Below are 21,648 nucleotides of genomic sequence, written 5' to 3'. Positions count from 1 at the left end.
TGAACGAAGAAACAAAATAGATAAACCACTCAGAGAAGGGTATTAGTACTTCCATTTTATAGACATGAAGGCTCCGCAAGGTTAAATAACTAGTTCAAGGTCACTATCATCCAGTTAGTGAGTCTAAAAAATCTGAACCTGAACCCGGGGTGATGTGACATCCAGACTTACTTGGGCAGTGTTGGGCACTGGAAGAACGACGCCTGCTGCCATGATTGGGAGGCCCATGCGGTGGGCCCCAGAGAATGGCCCCACCTGCCCACGGTACTCCCTGGCCCTGCCAGCACCCCTGGGGACCTGAGGTGAATGTGAAGTGCAGGCCTGGCCTGCGGTGGGGTGTGAACTGGCGCTGGCACTGTTATCTTTACTCTAATACAGCATCCCACACCCCCAGAGTCTGCACCAGCTCTGGGCTCCTCACCCACAGGGTCTGCCTGGAGCCCCTCTCCTCATCTAGCTCACAGGCAGGCAGGCTTGGGCTGAAGCCTGAAGAGGACTCTGGCTGGAAAGCCCATATGCGGTCTCCAAGTTCCTGCCTACCTCCCGCTTTGAAGATGCGGTTAATTTAGCAAGGGGGGTGGGGAAGAAGATGATTTCAACATATGGTGAGTGATGAACAGTTGGACAGATGTGCTATACAAAGGCCTCCCTCTCTGGCGTCAAAATTTAACAAGGACCTGGCAAATAAAAGAAATACATGAAATACATGGGCTTCTTTCAGTTACTCCTTCCTTTTCCACCTCCAAATAATGGTGAATTAACAAATGAGAAGTACTCTGCAAATGCAACCAAAATCTATGTTCTTTATTGTACAATCTGATTTAGTAGAGAAGAGAAATCGGAGACAGCATTTGTATTGGATTGTTCCTTCTAACCAGATAAACAAAGCAGTTTCTGAGGGCCACTGACACATCAACAGAGACAGACGATTGAACTAGTTAAATTCACAGTAACCACTGGGGCCCAATACCAGGAGCCAGGGTGCACTGGATGGGTCTGCGTGGAATACGAAGCCTGGAGCAGCTCTTACCTCACGGTAAGTTTGATCTGGCACCAGGAAAAGAGCCACCAACACAGCAGCTGCCCCAGCCCAGCCCGGCCCCCACAGGCTCCACTGTACTGAAATGCATGCGAGTTACCTTTGTTATTATCTTTGTAACCAATACATGTTACTAATACACATTCAGTAAGACAAATTCAAAAGATACTAATGTGGCCAGGGAGCAGTGGCTCACACCTATAATCCCAGCACTTTGGGAGGCCGAGATGGGCAGATCACCTGGGGTCAGGCGTTCGAGACCAGCCTGGCCAACCAACATGGTGAAATCCCGTCTCTACTAAAAATACAAAAATTAGCCAGGCGTGGTGGCAGGCACCTGTAAGGTGCGGTGGCTCACGTCTGTAATCCCAGCATTTTGGGAGGCCAAGACGGGCAGATCACCTGAGGTCGGGAGTTCGAGACCAGCCTGACCAACATGGAGAAACCCCATCTCTATTAAAAATACAAAATTAGCCGGGCGTCGTGGCACATGCCTGTAATCTCAGTTACTTGGGAGGCTGAGGCAAGAGAATCGCTTGAACTCAGGAGGTGGAGGTTGCAGTGAGACAAGATCGCGCCATTGCACTCCAGCCTGGGCGACAAGAGCAAAACTCCATCTCAGGAAAAAAAAAAAAAAAAGTGGCTGAGCGCAGTGACTCATGCCTGTAATCCCAGCACTTTGGGAGGCCGAGGGGGGTGGATCACCTGAGGTTGGGAGTTTGAGACCAGCCTGACCAACATGGAGAAACCTCGTCTCTACTGAAAACACAAAATTAGCTGGGTGTGGTGGCACATGCCTGTAATCCCAGCTACTCGGAAGGCTGAGGCAGGAGAATCACTTCAACCCAGGAGGCGGAGGCTGCAGTGAGCCGAGATCATATCATTTGCACTCCAGCCCGGGCAACAAGAGTAAAACTCTGTCTCAAAAAAAAAAAAAAGATACTAATGTGTGCACAAGAAAACAATCCAACTCAAAAGGTAAACAGTGTTAACAAACTGGTGGACAGCCTCCAGGCTTATACACATTCATATTAGCAGTCATGGTCTTCTCTACAAATGCAGGAAGCTACTGTATTATTCAACCTGGGTTCTTCTCTTTCTATACATGGTCATCTTTCTAAAAATATACATAAGTTCTGTTTAGTTCAGACTTAAAAATTAAAAGATAAAAATACACATAGTGATCTACCTCATTCTTTTTAATGCCTACACAGCATTCCACTATACAGTGGCATCGTATTTTATTTACCCATTTCCCTACGGAAATGTCCAACTGAACATGTCCCACCACAAATAATGCCACAACCAACACTCCAGTACATGTATCTTTACATGCTGGGGCCAATATTTCTTTACAACCTGGCATCTCTGCAAAGCACATTTTTCGTTTGTGTCCATAGAAAGAAAAGAGTTGAGACCTGTAACCCCGCACAGAGTAACCAGCAAGGCCCGAGACCTCTCATTAGGTAAATTACATGGGAGTCAGACGCCCTTCGGCAGCAAATGCCCAGACAGGCAGAGAACACAGCCTACTTACAACAACCCCATCCTCTTCTTCCCACCCCCTCTAGCTGTGGCACTCCCACAGTTCAGCTGCAGGAGGCGGATTAGGGCCAACAATGACTATCACCAGAAGCACCGAAGGACTCCTCAGCAACCACTCCAACCTGGATGCAATGCCTCCCGTTACCCCGGTGAGGAAATACTCCATCGGGCTGCCCGAATAAACATTACAGCTGCAGAGAGCATCCTCCTAACCGCCACTAAGGTGGCTGTCCTTACTATCACCCCCTATTTGCAGATAAGGGAACAGAGGCTCAGAGGTGAAGTGAGAACCAGGGTCACACAGTGCCCTCCTCACTCTACCACAGCTTCTCAGAACTGGGCCACACGCCCTCGGGTGTTTGCTGCTATAGAGACGTTCATCAACTCAGCCGAGACAAAGGAACTTTCTCTTTGATGAAAATAAATAAATCCAAAAATACTGAAGTGGGAGCTAAAAGGGCTGGGTTGGTATAAATAATCTCCAGCAAAGGCCAAAGGACTGGACCCCAGAAGCCGTGCATGACTTCTCCTCCAAGCCTCAGACACTAGAGGAAACCCAGGACAATCGCCGGCGAAGCCAGTTCTAAAGTAACAAAGGAATAAAGGACAGATCCAAAATAAGGGCCAGGGATTACTACGCCAAGGGCATTCCCAGGTACGCCAAGCTGTGACTTCAGAACGGTGGGAAAAGGGAGCATGCACCCTCACTCCAAATACACTACACACGTTATAAACACCTTACCCACAGACTCCTCACCTCACCCAAAACTCTATACTCACAACTCTCCTCCCCCACCCACCATCTCCCCGAAGCGTCTAAAAAACCGTATTGCACTGCCCCATTACCCTAAGGGCATGCCCACCTTTCCCCTTCCCCCACCCTCCAACCATGTCAACAGCAAATTGTAAAGCTGTGGGATCTTTGGAAGCAGCACTTGTTAATTAAACCCAGTCTATGCCACTGCTGAACTTTACCAATACAACATTATGATTCATCCAGGGTGTGCAAAGAATTACAATGGCCTTTTCTCCCCTCAAAAAGCTGAAGAGACCACACTAAGGAGCCATATGAGATGTCTTTGCTTATATTAAGGTCTACCTATAAACAGTCACACCTCCCACCTTCCAGTGGTCACTTCAGGTTTAGAATTCATATGCACAGTTAAAACAGTCCCCTTAGTTAAAAACAACTGGTTAAGACAGCAGTCCTCTCTTGATATTATAAAGAAACAGCAGGGAAGAAGGAATGACTTTCACTTTCTACTCTATACACTTCTGGAGCTTGATGTTTGTAGCAAGGCTGTATTGTAACTGTGACACGCCTGTATTGTAACTGTTACATTGTTTTTAAGATCTCGGTGAACTGAGCAACATAGTATCAACACCATATACTGTTCCAAGTTGACTAGGTTTCCTACACTGCACTAACACTGCATCCCAGAAATTACGCCAATCTTTGCAGCAATGCTGTGAGACAGGTTCCGTATCCATTTGGGGCAGATAAGAAAACTGAGACTTAAAGGAGCAAAAGACATGATTTGTTCAAGACCTCATAGCAGGTAGGTCTAAGTGGCTGAAAGGAACACTCCTGTCGGCCTGAGGTCAAGTCAGGGCTGTTGCTGGCCCAGCTGCAGTCTCCCTTGCAGCCAGAACCCACAAACTGCCTTAACATGCCTACCTTCATTCCTTCCAAGACATTTACCTGAAACTCCCCAAGAACACAACACAACAGACTAGACACAGGGCAGCTGCCAGCTATCAAACGCCCTTGCTCGTGGGAACAGACATCCGCAGTGGTGTTCATTGTGGAGAGATGTACAGAAGAGCCCTGATGCACCTGCCCATGGGAGGCCCTTGCTAGTTAAGGTGACTGAGCTCCAGGAGGTGAGGGCAATGCGCTACGGGTCCAAATCTTTAGCATGTAGCACAGTGCTGAGCACATAATTAGAAACCCCAACACCTAGGTAACAAACAAGCCCCAAGTGTACAAAAGCCTGCCTGCTCCAAACCCCCGGGCCCCCGGGGAGGGCTGAATCCAGGAACCATTAATAGCTGCGGTCTATGGAGAGCCTGCTGTCTTGTGCCAGGTGCCCTATCAACTCTGCAGCACATGACCCTCTGAATCCTTTCCCAGGTCCTATGAAGGTGTTACTATCACATTTTGCAGAGGAAGAGAATGGAGATTCAAAAAGATTTAAAAGCTGGCCCCAGGTCACCCAGCTTCTAAGTGGTAGAACCTGGACTTGAAGGCAGCTGACCCCAAAGCAGGGCTTCCAGTGTGGGGTGCTGCACTGTGCCTGCAAGGGAGAGCTACTCTCCACCAGGAAGAGGGGGCATGGCATTCCCAACTCTCCCAGCGAGCTCTCTCTGAATTCCAGCTAACAATAACCCCCCCAGGAGCCAGAGCAGTGTAATTCCAAACCGCACCTCCTCTTGCCAGAGCACAAATCCCCGCCAGCCTAGCCTGATGAAACACCACCACCCAGGCATTCCAGTGCTTCATTTCTGCAGTCACTTCAACCAATGGTGTGATCTCCTGGAAGAACTAAACCAAAGTGGGGGGCAGGAGGGGTGGCAAGTGACGCCAAGAGGTTGAGTCGAGAAGTGAGATATGCACAACAGCCACTATCAGGAGCTGCAAAAGCGCCAACAGCAATGAATATTAACAGCAACAAAACCACCAAGGACTGTGAAAGACGGGGCTATGAGAAAACTTAAAATGGAGGCCGTCTCTGAATTTTATGCACCAGGCTCCAGTGTATAACAGTTGGAAGAAAACAGGCAGCAAGGACAATCATTTTACTTGATACAGAAAATCAACCTTAGACCTGGCTGTGTCTATCGCCTCCTTCCAGCTCCCACAGTGGCCTTCACCTAACAAGACACCCAGAGCAACTCCTCCAGTGGCCGCTTCTGCACTGTGAACGGAGCTGCTGTGTCTGATCGCTGTCTGCCCAAGCTCACCAAAACATCAGACCCTACGCTCACCACAGAAAGCCGCAAACAGTAGCTTTTGATTGGAAAATGTGCACACCCAAAACAATCCAAAAAGCCTGTTCATTTAGAAAAGCCCATAGTCCAGAAACATACGCTCACACATATAAGCTGATACAAAGTTTTCTGAAGAGAAATCTGGCAGAATTCTTACCAAAAAGCTATTCAGTTGAAGAGTCCACACTGCAGAACCACATTCTCACACTTACATGCTTACATACAAATTGTATGTTTTTGAAAACAAATCTGGTACAGTTTGACCAAAATTGTGTAATATTCCAAAACTACAAATAGCCCAAATGTCCACCAGTAGGAGACAGAGGTTAAATCAAGTATACCCACAAAATATTCTCTGCAGTTGCTAAAATAGATAACATAATCCGTCTGCGTAGCTGTCAGGGAGCACGCTGAGACATTTTATCACGTGAAAGGGCAGCAGCATGCTTGAAGAATACAAACGTGCATGTGGATAATGTGGGTTTTTTTCTGGGAGGAATCCCAAGAACTTCCTCACACTGGTTTTTTTTTCAGAGAGAGTGGGGAAGAGCCTTTATACCTCCCTGAGCAACTTGAATTTTCTTTTTAAAAAGTCAACTGGGGGCCGGGTGCAGTGGCTCACGCCTGTAATCCCAGCACTTTGGGAGGCTGAGGCGGGTGGCTCGCCTGAGGTCAAGAGTTCGAGACCAGCCTGGCCAACATAGTGAAATCTCGTCTTTATTAAAAATACAAAAAAATCAACTAGGCATGGTGGCGGATGCCTGTAATCCCAGCTACTAGGGAGGCTGAGGCAGAAGAATTGCTTGAACCCAGGAGGCGGAGGTTGCAGTGAGCCAAGATCACGCCATTGCCTTCCTGGGCAACAAGCAAAACTCTGTCCCCACCACCAAAAAAAAAAAAAAAAAAAGTCAACTGGGAATATCTAAACCATGGGATTATAAACGATTTTTTCTTCTTTTACACACCTGTATATTTTTTAGAAACCTAACATTATTTTTAAAACACTTAGTGTGGCAGGTCTGTTCACATGAATATGGAAAAATGGCTGGGTGTGGTGGCTTACACCTGTAATCCTAGCACTTTCAGAGGCCAAGATGGGAAGACAGCTTGAGGCCAGGAGTTCAAGACAAGCTTGGTCAACATAGCGAGACCCACCCCCACATCCCTAAGGAAGAAAAAAAAAGTATTACTGAAAATAAAAATAAGAGAAGTTACGCTTAAAAATACGTATGGAAAAATACTGTGATATTTTGAAAATGCCAAGTTGCAATACAATATAGTATATCCCATTTTTGTTTTTTAAAAAACCTCCCTACATGAGGCCATATTTATACGTGCACTGAGCCTAGAAGGATAAACAAAGCAAATTTATCAATAATGGTTACTGCCTGGGACATTGGGGAAAAGCTTTCATTTCTCTTCAAACACTTGGCTTTTAATTTTGTTTTTTTTTTTTTTTTTAAAGTATGGGCCAGGCGCAGTGGCTCACGCCTGTAATTCTAGCATTTTGGGAGGCTGAGGTGGACAGATGGCCTGAGCTCAGGAGTTTGCGACCAGCCTGGGCAACAAGGCGAAACCCCATCTCTACTAAAATACAAAAAAAAATTAGCCAGGCGTGGCGGGATGCACCTGTACTCCCAGCTACTCAAGAGGCTGAGGCAGGGGAATTGCTTGAACCTGGGAGGTGGAGGTTGCAGTGAGCCGAGATCATGCCACTGCACTCCGGCCTGGGCAACAGAGCAAGACTCCACCTCAAAAAAAAATAAATAAATAAATAAAATAACCTGTATACTTCTGCAATTAACATTTTACCAAAAACAAACAAACAAACAAAAAACCAGAAAATACCACATTATGATTCAGGACACTATCCTCTTCCCAAGGACTTCTGAACACTTGGCCCATTCAGTCCACCGACAGGTCGGTTGGGCAGGCAGGCAGGAGTGATGATGCCCCTCCCAGACAGGCCTGTGCTTTCTGCCCTGGCCTGGAACACAGCTGTTCTTTAAGCTCTGAACCATATGTAAACAACACCTGCCGAAAAAAGTTCTGCAAGACACAAAGGACCCATGGAAAGAGTCCTGGAGATGACCTCCTTTTTCCAGTAGGTCCTGCAGCGATCCATCCCATGGTTCTATACAAAGAGATGATCCTGAAGCGTGTCGGGAAGTTGACGCCGGCTTCCCGGAGGCACAGTCATTCTCTGCCCTCCTCCCTGCTGGCCACTGGCCATACAAGAATGCTTGCATAATGTTCACCATTCAAAGGGCCTCGGCACTCTCTGGAAAGCAGGCTGACCCACAAGTTCTCTTCTGGGACCCATACATTTCTGATTTCCACATAGGAACACATTTTTAATGTTCCAGGGCTCAGCACACTATTTTCAATAGGTGCTTATTTCGAGTCAGCTACATTTTCCAGAATGCCTTCCCTGACTGCCCCACACCCAGACTGAGGTGAGCTTGGTTTCTGCGTGGGCTCCTATAAGACCCCCTTCTCAGACACCTGGCACACAGTGATGAATGGGAAACAACAGAATTCTGCTTCCGGATGCATTTACTCACTCCACTGGGGGAAAGGACCATTCAATACATGAAAACAAAACTATCTACAGGCTGCTGCCCGTCGCTGAATGAATAAATAAAATGTGGTAGATACATGCAAATAAGAGAATATTATTCTGCCTTAAGAATGAAGTTAGTTCTGACACATGCTGCAACATGGATGAACCTTGGAAATACTATGCTAAAAATAAGCCAGACACAAAATGACAAATACTGGATGATCTCACTTACATGAGGTACTTAAGAGTATTCGGTTTCACAGAAAGAAAGTAAAATGGTTGGCAGGGCAAGGTGGCTCAACATTGCCACCATGGGATTACACATGGCTGTAATTCCAGCACTCTGGGAAGCCGAGGCAGGCAAATCGCTTGAGCTCAGGAGTTCGAGACCAGCCTGGCCAACATGGCGAAACTCCGTTTCTCCTAAAAATACAAAAATTAGCCAGACCTGTAATCCCAGCTATTCAGGAGGCTGAGGCAGGAGAATCGCTTGAACCCGGGAGGTAGAGGTGCAGTGAGCCGAGATCGTGCCATTGCACTCCAGCCTGGGAGACATAACGAGACTCTGTCTCAAAAATAATAACAATAATACAAAAATTAGACCAAGCACAGTGGCTCACGCCTGTAATCCCAGCACTTTGGGAAGTCGAGGTGGGCAGATCACCTGAAGTCAGGGGTTCGAGACCAGCCTGGCCAACATGGTGAAACCCCGTCTCCACTAAAAATACAAAAATTAGCTGGGCATGGTGGCAGGCGCTTGTAATCCCAGCTACTCGGGAGGCTGAGGCAGGAGAATCTCTTAAACCCAGGAAGCAGAGGCTGCAGTGAGCCGAGATCGCGCCATTGCACTCCAGCCTGGGCAACATCAAAACTCTGTCTCAATAAAATAAAATAAAATATACAAAAACTAGGCCAGGCACGGTGGCTCATGCCGGTAATCCCAGCACTTTGGGAGGCTGAGGTAAGCAAACCACTTAAGGCCAGGAGTTCGACACCAGACTAGCCAACATGGTGAAACCCCGTCTCTACAAAAAAATACAAAAATTAGCTGGGTGTGGTGGCGTGTGCCTGTAATCCCAGCTACACAAGAGGCTGAGGTTGCAGTGAGCCAAGATCGTGCCACTGCACTCCAGCCTGGGCGACAGTGAGACCCTATCTCAAAAAAAAAAAAAAAAGGAGAAAGAATGGTAAGAATGGTGGCCGCCGCCACTGGATGGGGGAGGGGAGTTGGCATCTAATGGGAACAGAGTTTCAGTTTGGGAAGATGAGAACGTTCTGGAGATGGATGGTGGTGATGGTTGCACAACACTGTGAAAGTGCTTCACGCCACTCAACTGTACACTTAAAAATGGTAAATTTTATGTTATGTATACTTCACCACAATTTTTAAAATTCAAATAAAGAAAAAAACACCTATTTACAAGTTGTGAAAACTGCTATAAAGAGAAACTGTAGGGGGCTCCGAAGAAATCACAGGAGGCTGAGGCAGGAGAATCGCTTGAACCCGAGAGGTAGAGGTTGCAGTGAGCCAAGATCGCGCCATTGCTCTCCAGCCTAGGCAACAAGAGCAAAACTCCGTCTCAAAAAAAAAAAAAAAGAAAGAAAGAAACCACAAGAGGATGAGGCCAAAGTTAGGTGGGGGGCTCTCCAGGGCCTCCTCCCCACCAGACCAGGATCTCCCCAGGAGTCAATGGGGCATCCATGTCCCTAGAAACAAAAACTGTTTAAGACAAAAGGCTTCTCCAGGTTCAAACCAGTAAATGGAGTAAGACCTCAAGCCCCACTCATCAAAGGGCTTAACCAGGACTGAGACCCCCCAGAACCTAGTGGCTCATGAAAGAGGCTGCCTTGCTGGGTGCCGTGGCTCATGCCTGTAATCCCAGCACTTTGATAGGCGGAGGCGGAGGGATCACTTGAGTCCAGGAGTCTGAAACAGCCTGGGTGTCCAGGCACGGTGGCTCACACCTGTCATCCCAGCACTTTGGGAGGCCAAGGCAGGTGGATCACCTGAGGTCAGGATTTCGAGACCAGCCTGGCCAACATGGCAAAACCCCGTCTCTACTAAAAATACAAAAAGTAGCCAGGTGTGGTGGTGCACGCCTGTAATCCCAGCTACTCGAAGGCTGAGGCACGAGAATTGCTTGAACCCAGGAAGTGGAGGTTGCAGTGAGCCAAGATCGCACGGCTGCACTCCAGCCTGCGCAACAGAACAAGATGCCATCTCAAAAAAAAAAAGAAAGAAAAGAAAAGAAAAACAAACAGCCTGGGCAAAATGGCGAAACCCCGTCTCCACAAAAAAATACAAAACTTAGTCAGGCATGGTGGCGCATGCCTATAGGATCCCAGCTACTTGGGAGGCTAAGGCAGAAGGATCATTTGAGCCCAGGATGCAGAGGTTACGGTGAGCTGAGATCACATCACTGCACTCCAGACTGGGCGACAAAGTGAGACCCTGCCTCAAAAAAGAAAAAACTAAGAAAGAGACTGCCTTGGGCTCAAGGCTGGAGAGGGAGGTGACAAAGACTGAAGGAGACAACCGATCCTGTCCAGAAGAGAAGAACAAACCTGCAATCCTCTGACCCCAGAAATTCCACTTATGGGAGATAATCAGCCACGTGGACCAAGACTTAACATGCCGAGATGCTCCCTACAGTTTCTCTTATAGGAGGGAAAAGAGGGCAACAATAATCTAAATGTCTACGAATACAGGAGTCAATAAATTATGGCATATCCGTATAATAGCAATTATATAATTATAAAAATAACGTAGAGGAATACACTATAACATTAAAAGGGGAAAAGCAAGCTATCAACTGTGTATTCAATGTATATATACTATTGCTCTAATTTAGAAAACACAGACATTATCAGAGGAAAGAAACACACCAGCAACTTTACTGCAGTTAGCTCTGGATGGTGAGGTCACAAGTGATTTATATATTTATTTTGGCATTTATTCTTTTCAGTATTTTCCTTTTTTTTCAGATGGAGTCTCGCTCTGTGGCCCAGGCTAGAGTGCAGTGTCGTGATCTCGGCTCACTGCAAACTCCGCCTCCCGGGTTCATGCCATTCTCCTGCCTCAGCCTCCTGAGTATCTGGGACTACAGGCGCCCGCCACCACGCCCGGCTAATTTTTTGTATTTTTAGTAGACACGGGGTTTCATCGTGTTAGCCAGGATGGTCTCGATCTCCTGACCTCGTGATCCGCCCACCTCAGCCTCCCAAAATGCTGGGATTATAGGTGTGAGCCACCGTGCCCAGACTTTTTTTTTTTTTTTTTTTTTGAGACAGAATTTCACTCTGTCTCCCAGGCTGGAATGCAGTGGCACAATCTCGGCTCACTGCAACCTCCACCTCCCAGGTTTAAGTGATTCTCCAGCCTCACCCCTCCTGAGTAGCTGGGACTACAGGCACTCGCCACGGCATCCAGCTAATTTTTGTATTTTTAGCAGAGACGGGGTTTCACCATGTTGGCCAGGCTGGTCTTGAATTCCTGACCTCAGGTGATCCGCCCACCTCGGCCTGCCAAAGTGCTTGGATTACAGGCGTGAGCCACCGTGCCCGACCTACTTTTTATTCTTTTGAGACAGGGTCTCACTCTGTCGCCCAGGCTAGAGTGCAGTGGCATGATCACGGCTCACTGCAACCTCAACCTCCCAAGCTCAAGTGATCCTCCTGCTTCAGCCTCCCAAGTAGTTAGAACTACAGGCATGCGCCACTATACCCTACTAATTTTTTCTTTTAAGAGGCATTTTTTTATTTTCATCACATTGCCCAGGCTGGTCTTAACCTGGCCTCAAGCAATCCACCTGCCTTGGCCTCCCCAAGTACTGGGATTACAGGCATGAGCCACCTTGCCCTACCACAAGAAAAATGTATTTAAAGGGCCTTGTACAATGCCTGGCAAATGATAGGTGCTCAAGGAGTATCTATTGCCTGACAAGTCAATTAAAAATGCAATAAATACTGCTGCTGCAGCCCCACAGAGAAAAAGACTGATGGTTATCTTGGAAAGGAGGAAGACGGTCCAGACGGAAGCCACACAACTGGCTGCAGAGGTAAGAACGGAAGGAAGTCCTGTACAAGATGTGAAAGACCGCCAGCAACTTGAGATAGGCTTTGTTCTGCCAGCTACTCCTGCTGCACGCAATGCTTCACAAATCAGTGCTGCTGCCAGCACCTCGGAGGTGCACTTCAGCTCGGACGAAGGATGCTTCTCAGGTCACACAGAAAACCAACAAGTACAGCTGAGAACAAAGCTCAACCACAACTTCTGGCTCAAGACACTAAGACAAACCTACCTCCCAGCACAAAAGAGATTTCCCACGTGCCACCCAGAGGTATAAACAGTAATATCGCCAATGGCAAGGCCCAGGTCTGCCAGCTCCCAGGTGAGGAGGTCCAGTCTGAATGGCACCTTTTAAACCTAAAGCTAATGACAAACAATTCTATTTCACCAGAAACAAAGCTCACCATATCCCATGTCGCTCCCATCTCCAACACCACAGCCAGTGCCTGTATTTCTTTGTCCCAATGACAGACCCAAGTTTCCTGAGGCTGTACAAGTCCCAGAAATAATCTTAAAAAGAGATCAAGTTATGATCTGAAAAGAAGACAGTCTAGTTAGCCCTGCCTCCTTACATGAAATTTATTTAAAACCAAAATTACAAGATTTGGAGCACAAAGCCCATTGTCTGCTGGAAATGTTGTTTTTTGGGGAGAAATCCATTGTTTTAAAATCTAGTATAGATAGGCTCTATTTAGTACCTGTCCGCCCATGACAAGATATGTACATTTCACGGTAGGGAAGCCTCATTATTGAATTCAGAAATACATGAATTGACCCACCTGGCCTATTCTGGTTTGAAATAGAAACCAACACAGAAATGATCAATCTTAAGGGGTAGGATAATGAGACATATAACTAGCATACAGCCACAGCCATTAGCAACATGAGTCAGTACTTTGTGCAAGGCAAAAAAAAAAAAAAAAAAAAACCCTCAAAAGTACAATAAAATAATCCTTCAGGATAAAAAAAGAGAACTGAAATTCAAAAGAGGTTAGGAGTGTTGAACAGGAAAAAAAAAATTAATAACAAAAATCCCTCAGCTAAGCACAAGGCAAAGGGACCCATGCTGGAACCAGTTCTGACCTGCCATTCCTGAAATTCCACTCTCCCGAGGTTTCCTGGCTCTTCCTTCCCCAGGCTTTCTTTTTACCTATTTGGGCCCAGTGGAGGCTGGAGACGGCCACTGTACGAGATGGGACGCCCACACAGTGGGCTTAGGGCCTAAGGCAAGGGCATGCAATCAGCATTAGGGGGCCACAGATAACCAAAATTCACAGGTATGCAGAAGCTCATGGGAGAGGCAGCGACTATCTCCTGGCCTAACTAACCAGTTAACAGTATAGAGCCAGACTGGGCCCGAGTGAAGTCAGACAAAAAGGAAGGGCCAAGAGGCAGGAAGCGAGGAAAAATCAAAGGATGACAGGACCCTGCTAAAATATCTCAGTTCCACAGCTAGGAGGTCTGGAGGGGGTGCCACATTTTACCAAAAAACCAACAAGATGGTTGCGGGAATGCCAAAATGAACCAAAACAAATTCCCCAATAAAATGCAGAACCACTGCAGAGCCATTTACCAACAAGCTAACATGTTCAGCCAAGAGGTGACCTGGGTCTCAGTCCTCACTTGTGGCCAACACTGGGTTCAGTCTGTCTCCTGCTTCTTAGCAATAGTCCTTCCACACAATCTCAAACAGCAGACACCGAGATCTGGCTGAGCTCCCTAGCTGTACTAAGCCATTCTGGTGCTTCCAGGTAGATGGGTGATAGTCACCATAGCAAAACATTAGCCGGCCATAGAATTTGGGGTGGGGAAGTCACAGTTCCATCAACCAAGAGAAGAGGAAAAAATAAGCATTAAGAGAAAGAAGACCGGGCGCGGTAGCTCAGGCCTGTAATCCCAGCACTTTGGGAGGCCAAGGCAGGCAAATCACCTGAAGTCGGATGTCTGAGACTAGCCTGGCCAACATGGTGAAACCCTGTCTCTACTAAAAACACAAAAATTGGCCAGGTGTGGTGGCACATGCCTGTAATCCCAGCTACTCCAGAGGCTGAGGCACGAGAATCGCTTGAACCCAGGAGGCGGAGGTTGCAGTGAGCTGAGATCACATCACTGCACTCCAGCCTGGGCGACAGAGTGAGACTGTCTCAAAAAAAAAAAAAAAAAAAAGAAAAGAAAAGAAAAAAGAAGGAAGGGAAGGAAGGAAAAGGAAGGGAAAGGGAGGGAGGGAGAGAGGAAGAGGGCAAGGGAGGAAGGAAGGAGAAAGGAACCAGAAAAACAGATAATCAACAAACACATACATTTCATCACCTTCCTATGGAGAGAAAACAATTCACTGTGAATCTTAAGTGAGGCTCCCAAGAGCCCTAATAGATACCCAAGGCAGGCATAATTATTCCCATTTTACAGATGCAAGATCTGAGCCTCAGAGACTTGCTTTGTAAAGGTAACCCGATGAGGACCAGAATCCAGCTGCGCAGGCTCCAAGAGACACACTTGCCCAAACAAGTAGAAACTCACTCTCAGATGATTATCTGCCAATCCCCAAGGAAAGCAGTTATCCTCAGAAGGCAGGACTCCTTGGGCGTCTGTTTGTCCTGAGCATCTCGTACTGTTCTAACCCTGCCTTAAACTGACCAACTGCCACACACTCCGGGTCTACTAAGTTCTAGAGACCTCCAAATGCTACTTTTTCCCATCCCTGCCTCCCGAGAGGCTCAGCACTGTATAAGCGCCCACTAATGTTTGGGCCTTGAATTCCTTCTGTATTGTCCATGCCTTAGGCCAGCACCTGTGGCATCCATGGGCACAGTTTGGCTCTATGGGTGGCACCACAAGGGGCTCACGTCTGTCCTAGGACTTGACAGCAGTTATACCAACAACCGTAGGAGGAACCACTAACTGTGCCAGGCCCTCTGCTAGGCCCTTCACCGCTGCCCAAACCTGCCAGGTGGAGGGTGCACGCCCCGATTTATGCAGATGAAGCCTCAGACAGCCCCAGAGTCACTAGGTTTACGGAAGAAAGAAGCAGGATCTGCACCCCAATGCCTGGGCCTCCCCAGTCCCACCTTACACCACAGCGCTGTGCATAGACATGACTAAATGGCTGCAGCGAGATTCGGAAAAACCATGCTAAGACCGCACACAATTGGTTACAAAAACCAAACTGGATGACACTGTACAAAGCCACATCAAATGCACACTAAACCTTAAAGAAAAAAAAAATCTTAGGGAAAGTTTAACAGTCCTGTAAACCAAAGGCATTTAAAGATTTCTCCCAGGAAGCCATTTAGCAAAAGACACTCCCCAGCCCCCCTTCTCCCACTTCCTTCAAGCTCACCACTGAAAACACCTCCAATTCTTGCCTAAAGGTGGGCTCCGACCTCCCACGATATTTAGAAGGAGGAAAAAAGAAAAAGGAAAAAAATCCACCTCTTAAGGCAAATCCACTCTTCAGAGGCCCACAGTTTCAACAGGGCTGAATTTCTCTCCTGGGGGTTGAGGGGAGGCAAAAGAGGAGGAAAAAAAAAAAAACCCCATCTGGCAGGCCCCGAGTGGCGACATCCTGTTTATTATTAAACATTTTTAGCATGGAGCATTCAGCATTTCGAAAATAACCCTCTGGTTCCCGCACTCACACCGAGACTGGGCGGCCGCTCGCCTCCCTCCCCCAGCCGCCAACTTTAGCGCCGCCGGGGCCCGGCCCACCCCGCGCCAGGAACGGCCCCGCGAACGCCGCTCAGCGCCCCGGACCCAAGGCCCGACCCCGCAGGATCCCGCCTCGGGCGCGCTGCTCCGTCAATTGGGCGGGGCGGGGAGCAAAGACGCCGGCCCCAGAACCCCGAGACCCGGCTGCGGGCCCGGGACCCCCGCCCCTCCGGCCTCTGCAGCCCGGCCCGGCCTCGGGGGTACGGGGGTGGCGGGCGAGCCCTGAGGGAGTCGCGCGGCCCCTGGACCCCGCCCGAGCCTGAGGCCGCGCGGCGCCGCCACAACAATGGCGAGCGCGCCCGGGCCCGCCGCCCCCAGGCCCCGCGGCCTCCCAGCCCCGCAGCCCCGCGCCCGGCGGGAAGGAGGCGGCGGCGGCCGCGCTCGCGGACAAAGGTCGGGCAGGGCCGCAGGGCCCCCGGGCCCCCGGCGGCGGCCGCGGGAGACAAAGCCCGGCCGGGCCGCGCCGCCTCCATCTTAGCGCCGCCGCCCCCACGCCCCGGCCCCGGCCCCGGCCCCGACCCACCTGGTCTGGTTCCGCGGGCGCGGCCGGGCCGGGCGATGGCAGTCGGGCGGCGGTCGGGCACGGGGGCGGCGGGATGGCGGCGGATTGCGAGGCGGCGGCGCGGGCTGCTCGCTCGCTCGCTCCCTCCCTCCTCCCGGGCTCGCTCGTCGCTGCGCGGTGGAGCCTCGGCGCCTGTCTCGCCGCTCGCTCCCTCGCGCTCGGCTCCCCGCCCCCCGCCTGCCGCCGCCCCCGCCTCCTCGTCCTCCTCCTCCCGCCGCCGCCCGCAACCTGGGCCCGCGCAGCGCCCCCTGCCGCGCCTCCCGGGAGCGGCGGCCTTGGGATCGGCCCGGGGGCCGGGCGAGGGCTGGGGCCAGGGGGGAGGGGCGGGGAGCGGCGGGAGGGGGCTGGGAGGGGGCTGGGAGTGGGGAGGGGCCCGGGGACGGCGGGAGAGGCGGGAGAGAACGGGGCAGAGCGGGGATCGGGGAGGAGACCCGGAGGAGGGGCCAGGAGCCAAGAGAAGGGGCCTGGGAAGGGCATGGGCCCGGCCTGGGCCCGGGGGAAGGGCGCCCGGAAAGAGGGGGAAGGGATGGAGGGGGCAGTGACGGGGGAGCGAGCCCGGATCTCCGCCCCCTCCCCCTTCAAAACTGCAGCGCCTCAGAACAGACTAAGCCCGGATTTTGTTAAAATATGTATACGGTATATGAACGGAAAGGAAGCAGAAATAATACTTTTTTCATTTCAAAAGCAAGGTTGTTGCACAATATGGGTACTTTGTCCCATTTTTACAAAATGAAAACTAATAAGCCCCTCCTCTTGAGTGTTGTGTGTTTGTGTGATTGCAAAACAAAAGGTCCGGGAGACTGCACTCCTGTCTTGGTTACCTCCGTGGTTTGAGGTTGGGAGAGCGGAGGAGGGTTCTTACTTTTTTAGACACCTAACCAACTATAAAAGCAATTTCAAAAAGCAAATACAAAAAAAAAATGTTAGGGCCTGGCACCCAAATCATCCCACCCTCTTCCAGTCACGGTTGCTCTAAGCACCAGCTGCGGGCCATGCCCTATGCTAAAGCACGTGGTTTGTCTCACTTAATCCTAACCCAGGGGCAGATATTATTGTTCTAATTCACAGGTGAGACAAAGGAGGCTTTGAGAGAATGTGCCCCAGGCCACACTGCTGGACCCAGAAGGAAAATTAACCCACTTCAGCCTAACTCCAGAACTGAGGCTGGTGAACAAAGCTTAGTTTTTGGGGAGTAGAATTCTGGATACTTTTATAGCCTTATTTATAATTCTCTGAATTTTCCTACATTTTATCCATGGTCATTTTCAGTGTTATCCTTTTTTTCTTTTTTCTTTTTTTTTTTTTTTGAGACAGTCTCGCTCTGTCCCCCAGGCTGGAGTGCAGTGGCACAATCCGCAATCTCTGCTCACTGCAACCTCCAACTCCTAGATTCAAGCGATTCTCCTGCCCCAGCCTCCTGAGTAGCTGGGATTACAGACATCTGCCACCATGCCCAGCTAATTTTTGTATTTTTGGTAGAGATGGGATTTCACCATGTTGGCCAAGTTGGTCTGGAACTCCTGCGCTAAAGTGATCCACCTACCTTGGCCTCCCAAAGTGTTGGGATTACAGTGCCGGCCACTCTGTTTTACATCATCAAATCTGCATTATTCCCCTGCCAATGTCTTCAATATTTCGCTATCTCTACAAAACAGGGAGGATGTAACCCTAATTTTTGTTTTCGATTTTGTTCCTTGACCATCTTCAGGAAGGCCATAGAATTGGCCCAGTGCTCAAAACCCAGCAACTAATAAAAATGATAGAAGGCAAATAAACAAATAAAAAATAAATTAAATAAATAAACTGAGCCTCAGGTTCTTCATCTGTAAGGCTGGCGCAGTGGCTAACACCTGTAATCCCACCACTTTGGTAGGTCGAGGCAGGTGGATCATGCGGTCAGGAGTTCAAGACCAGCCTGACCAATATGGTGAAACCCCATCTCTACTAAAAATACAAAAATTAGCCAGGCATGGTGGCAGTCGCCTGTAATCCCAGCTACTTGGGAGGCTGAGGCAGAAGAATTGCTCAAACCCGGGTGGCGGAGGTTGCACTGAGCCGAGATCATGCCACTGCACTCCAGCCTGGGTGACAGAGTGAGACTCCATCTCAAAAAAAAAAAAAGAAAGAAAATAAACAAGCAAAAAAGAAATAAACTATCTGAAGCCTCAGATTCTTTATTTGTAAGGCCAAGCGTGGTGGCTCACCCCTGTAATCCCACCACTTTGGGAGGCCGAGGCAGGCAGATCACCTGAGGTCAGGAGTTTGAGACCAGTCTGGCCAACATGGTGAAACCCCGTCTCTACTAAAAATACAAAAATTAGCCGGGCATGGTGGTGGGGTCCTGTAATCCCAGCTACTCGGGAGGCTGAGGCACAAGAATCACTTGAACCCAGGAGGTGGAGGTTGCAGTGAGCCAAGAGCACGCCACTTCACTCCAGCCTGGGCAACAGAGAGAGACTCTGTCTCAAAACAAAATGATAGGAGGAGGCTGAACAGTAACAGGGTGGTTTACTGAGCACTTACTATGTGACAGCCACTGTGCTAAACACTCCCTATAGAGTCACTCAGGTAATCCTCACGACATACCCATAAAACAGACACTAGTGTGCCCATCCAACAGAGAAGAAAAGTAGACTTTGTGGAGGCAATACAATGCCCCCCACCAAAGATGTCCAAGTCCTGATCCCTGAAATCTGTGAAAATGGTACCTTCTCTGGCAAAAGGGATTCTGTAGATGGGATGAAGTTAAGGATCTTGAGATGCAGAGATGAATCCTGGATTATTTGGTTGGGCAGGTGGAATCACAAGGGTCCTCACAAGAGGAAGGAAGGAGGGTCGGAGTCGGAGAAGATGTGGTTGATGAAGCGGAGTTCATCATATTGACTGACAAAGGAATGACGCAGGACCTCACGCCCAGAAATGCAGGCTGCCTCTAGAAGCTACAAAGGACAAGGAATGGATTCTCCCCTAAAGCCTCCAGAAGAAAATGAGCCCTGCCAACCACCGTGACCTCCAGAACTTTAAGATAACAAAGTTACATAAGCCACTAAATGTGTGGTAATGTAGCAATAGAAAACTAGTACAACCTTGGAGACTTGCTGAAGGCAACACAGCGAGGGAAGGGTTAAAAGGCAAGCTAGGGCCAGACACAGTGGCTCAAGCCTGTAATCCCAGGACTTTGGGAGGCTGAGGTGGGCAGATCACTTGGTCAGGCGTTCGAGACCAGCCTGACCAACATGGTGAAACCCTGTCTCTACTAAAAATACAAAAATTAGCCAGGCCTGGTGGTATGTGCCTGTAATCCCAGCTACTCAAGAAGCTGAGGCAGGAGAACTGCTTGAACCTGGGAGGTGGAGGTTGCAGTGAGCCGAGATTGCACCATTGCACTATAGCCTGGGCGACAGAGCGAGACTCTGTATCAAAAAAAAAAAAAAAAAAAAAAAGCTAGGGCACAGTGGCTCACGCCTGTAATCCCAGCACTTTGGGAGGCCGAGGCAGGTGGGTCACGAGGTCAAGAGATCGAGACCATCCTGGCTAACATGGTGAAACCCCATCTCTACTAAAAATACAAAAAATTAGCCAGGCGTGGTGGCGGGCGCCTATAGTCCCAGCTACTCGGGAGGCTGAGGCAGGACAATGGCATGAACCTGGGAGGCAGAGCTTGCACTGAGCTGAGATCACACCACTGCACTCCAGCCTGGGCGACAGAGCAAGACTCTGTCTCAAAAAAAAAAAAAAAAAAAAAAAAGGCAAGCTAGGAGTCTTGGGAGAGAAGAGACCTGGCTTCAAATCCAGCTCAGCCATCTCCTACCTCCCTGACCATCCTCATGGAGAGAATGGCATGCAGTCATCCATCCCTGCAAAGTGCTTAGCCCAGAGGAGAGCCCTGGGAATCAAAGTTCGTCCGTTCATTCACTGGGCACCTGCACTCTGGTGCTCACTGTGCCAGGCTCTGGGGCCATGCTGTTGAACTGGGCAGAGAAGGGCCACTACAGTCAATAAAACAAACACAGGCCAGACGCAGTGGCTCACGCCTGTAATCCCAGCACTTTGGGAAGCCAAGGCGGGAGGACCACGAGGTCAGGAGATCAAGACCATCCTGGCCAACACGGTGAAACCCTGTCTCTACCAAAAATACAAAAACTAGCCAGGCGTGGTGGCGGGCACCTGTAATCGCTCGGGAGGCTGAGGCAGGAGAATCGCTTGAACCCAAGAGTTGGAGGTTGCAGTGAGCCAAGATCGCCACTGCACTCCAGCTTGGCGACAAAACAGGACTCCATCTCAAAAAAAAAAAAAACAAAAAAAAAAACAACCATGTTCCGAGGTTTTAGTTCTGGTTCTGTCTCCAACCAGCAGAGCTAGCCTTTTGGTGCCTAAGAGTTTCTACCTGCGAAAATTGGGTGGGGAGCACTGTGGTGTCTCTCCAGCTGGGATCCCCAAGCAGAGAAGAGAGCTTGGCACAAAGTAAGCACTCAATCTCCATGGTGGTTGAAAAGTGGATGCCTGGACAACTGAGGCCAAAATCATGGCTCCTGACCAACCACACAAAACACACGGCTCACAAAACCAGCCAAATAAGCACATGCACTAAAGCCTCCAAACCTCAGCAAGCCTGGAGGTGGGTGCCCAGCCTCCCTTCCCCTACTGTCACCACTATGGGGACAAAGCATCCAGCAAGGTGTCAGAGGAAGAAAACATACCTGGTGTTTTGAATACCTGCACTTAACAGTCGAGAAAATAGAGCATCAGAAAGTTCAGTGACTTGCCCAGCCAGGCACAGTGGCTCATGCATGTGATCCTAGCACTTTGGGAGGCCAAGGTGGGCGGATTGCCTGAGGTTGGGAGTGTGAGACCAGCCTGACCAACATGGAGAAACCCCATCTCTACTAAAAATACAAAAACTGAGCCAGGCATGGTGGCGCATGCCTGTAATCCCAGTTACTTGGGAGGCTGAGGCAGGAGAATCGCTTGATTCACCAGGGAAGCGGAGGTTGTGGTAAGCCGTGATCCCAGCACTGCATTCCCGCTTGGGCAACAAGAGCGAAACTCTGTCTCAAAAAAAAAAAAAAAAAAAATTGAAAGGAGCCAGGCGCAGTGGCTCACACCTGTAATCCCAGCACTTTGGGAGGCCAAGGTGGGTGGATTGCCTGAGCTCAGGAGTTCGAGACCAGCCT

General features: G+C 49.4%; 1 protein-coding gene across 5 annotated transcripts in view, besides 11 other annotated features; it reads right to left on the bottom strand.

The window, feature by feature from the left end:
• PRRC2B (proline rich coiled-coil 2B) overlaps positions 1–21,648 on the bottom strand; it is a 126,543-nt gene that overhangs the window by 89,495 nt on the left and 15,400 nt on the right. For 4 of the 5 annotated variants that reach the window (NM_001384818.1, NM_001384823.1, NM_013318.4 and 1 more), the window contains exon 1: positions 16,436–16,613. The exons of the other annotated variant lie outside the window; for it this stretch is intronic. The gene's annotated coding sequence lies outside the window, so the exon portion shown is untranslated. Of the gene's footprint in view, positions 1–16,435; positions 16,614–21,648 lie in introns of those variants that run through there. 5 annotated transcript variants of the gene reach the window in all.
• Positions 1,334–1,834: an enhancer, noted in NCBI's record as "H3K4me1 hESC enhancer chr9:134284252-134284752 (GRCh37/hg19 assembly coordinates)". NCBI's record gives its function as "activates a minimal SCP1, AML or CMV promoter by ChIP-STARR-seq in primed H9 embryonic stem cells {active_cell/tissue: H9 hESC(primed)}" and the evidence as "EXISTENCE:reporter gene assay evidence [ECO:0000049][PMID:30033119]".
• Positions 2,838–2,957: a silencer, noted in NCBI's record as "silent region_20416". NCBI's record gives its function as "represses an Ori minimal core promoter by ATAC-STARR-seq in GM12878 lymphoblastoid cells {active_cell/tissue: GM12878}" and the evidence as "EXISTENCE:reporter gene assay evidence [ECO:0000049][PMID:35858748]".
• Positions 8,441–9,432: an enhancer, noted in NCBI's record as "H3K27ac-H3K4me1 hESC enhancer chr9:134276654-134277645 (GRCh37/hg19 assembly coordinates)". NCBI's record gives its function as "activates a minimal SCP1, AML or CMV promoter by ChIP-STARR-seq in primed H9 embryonic stem cells {active_cell/tissue: H9 hESC(primed)}" and the evidence as "EXISTENCE:reporter gene assay evidence [ECO:0000049][PMID:30033119]".
• Positions 12,131–12,210: an enhancer, noted in NCBI's record as "active region_29188". NCBI's record gives its function as "activates an Ori minimal core promoter by ATAC-STARR-seq in GM12878 lymphoblastoid cells {active_cell/tissue: GM12878}" and the evidence as "EXISTENCE:reporter gene assay evidence [ECO:0000049][PMID:35858748]".
• Positions 13,828–14,589: an enhancer, noted in NCBI's record as "H3K27ac hESC enhancer chr9:134271497-134272258 (GRCh37/hg19 assembly coordinates)". NCBI's record gives its function as "activates a minimal SCP1, AML or CMV promoter by ChIP-STARR-seq in naive H9 embryonic stem cells {active_cell/tissue: H9 hESC(naive)}" and the evidence as "EXISTENCE:reporter gene assay evidence [ECO:0000049][PMID:30033119]".
• Positions 15,352–16,113: an enhancer, noted in NCBI's record as "H3K27ac hESC enhancer chr9:134269973-134270734 (GRCh37/hg19 assembly coordinates)". NCBI's record gives its function as "activates a minimal SCP1, AML or CMV promoter by ChIP-STARR-seq in primed H9 embryonic stem cells {active_cell/tissue: H9 hESC(primed)}" and the evidence as "EXISTENCE:reporter gene assay evidence [ECO:0000049][PMID:30033119]".
• Positions 15,352–16,209: a biological region, named in NCBI's record as "H3K27ac hESC enhancer GRCh37_chr9:134269973-134270734".
• Positions 15,920–16,209: a silencer, noted in NCBI's record as "silent region_20415". NCBI's record gives its function as "represses an Ori minimal core promoter by ATAC-STARR-seq in GM12878 lymphoblastoid cells {active_cell/tissue: GM12878}" and the evidence as "EXISTENCE:reporter gene assay evidence [ECO:0000049][PMID:35858748]".
• Positions 16,440–16,549: a silencer, noted in NCBI's record as "silent region_20414". NCBI's record gives its function as "represses an Ori minimal core promoter by ATAC-STARR-seq in GM12878 lymphoblastoid cells {active_cell/tissue: GM12878}" and the evidence as "EXISTENCE:reporter gene assay evidence [ECO:0000049][PMID:35858748]".
• Positions 16,580–16,769: a silencer, noted in NCBI's record as "silent region_20413". NCBI's record gives its function as "represses an Ori minimal core promoter by ATAC-STARR-seq in GM12878 lymphoblastoid cells {active_cell/tissue: GM12878}" and the evidence as "EXISTENCE:reporter gene assay evidence [ECO:0000049][PMID:35858748]".
• Positions 17,240–17,389: an enhancer, noted in NCBI's record as "active region_29187". NCBI's record gives its function as "activates an Ori minimal core promoter by ATAC-STARR-seq in GM12878 lymphoblastoid cells {active_cell/tissue: GM12878}" and the evidence as "EXISTENCE:reporter gene assay evidence [ECO:0000049][PMID:35858748]".

This window comes from Homo sapiens, chromosome 9 (genome assembly GCF_000001405.40).
Source record: "Homo sapiens chromosome 9, GRCh38.p14 Primary Assembly".
NCBI lineage: Eukaryota > Metazoa > Chordata > Mammalia > Primates > Hominidae > Homo > Homo sapiens.
The sequence above is the reverse complement of the archived record's forward strand: the minus strand, read 5'-3'. Positions and strand labels throughout refer to the sequence as shown.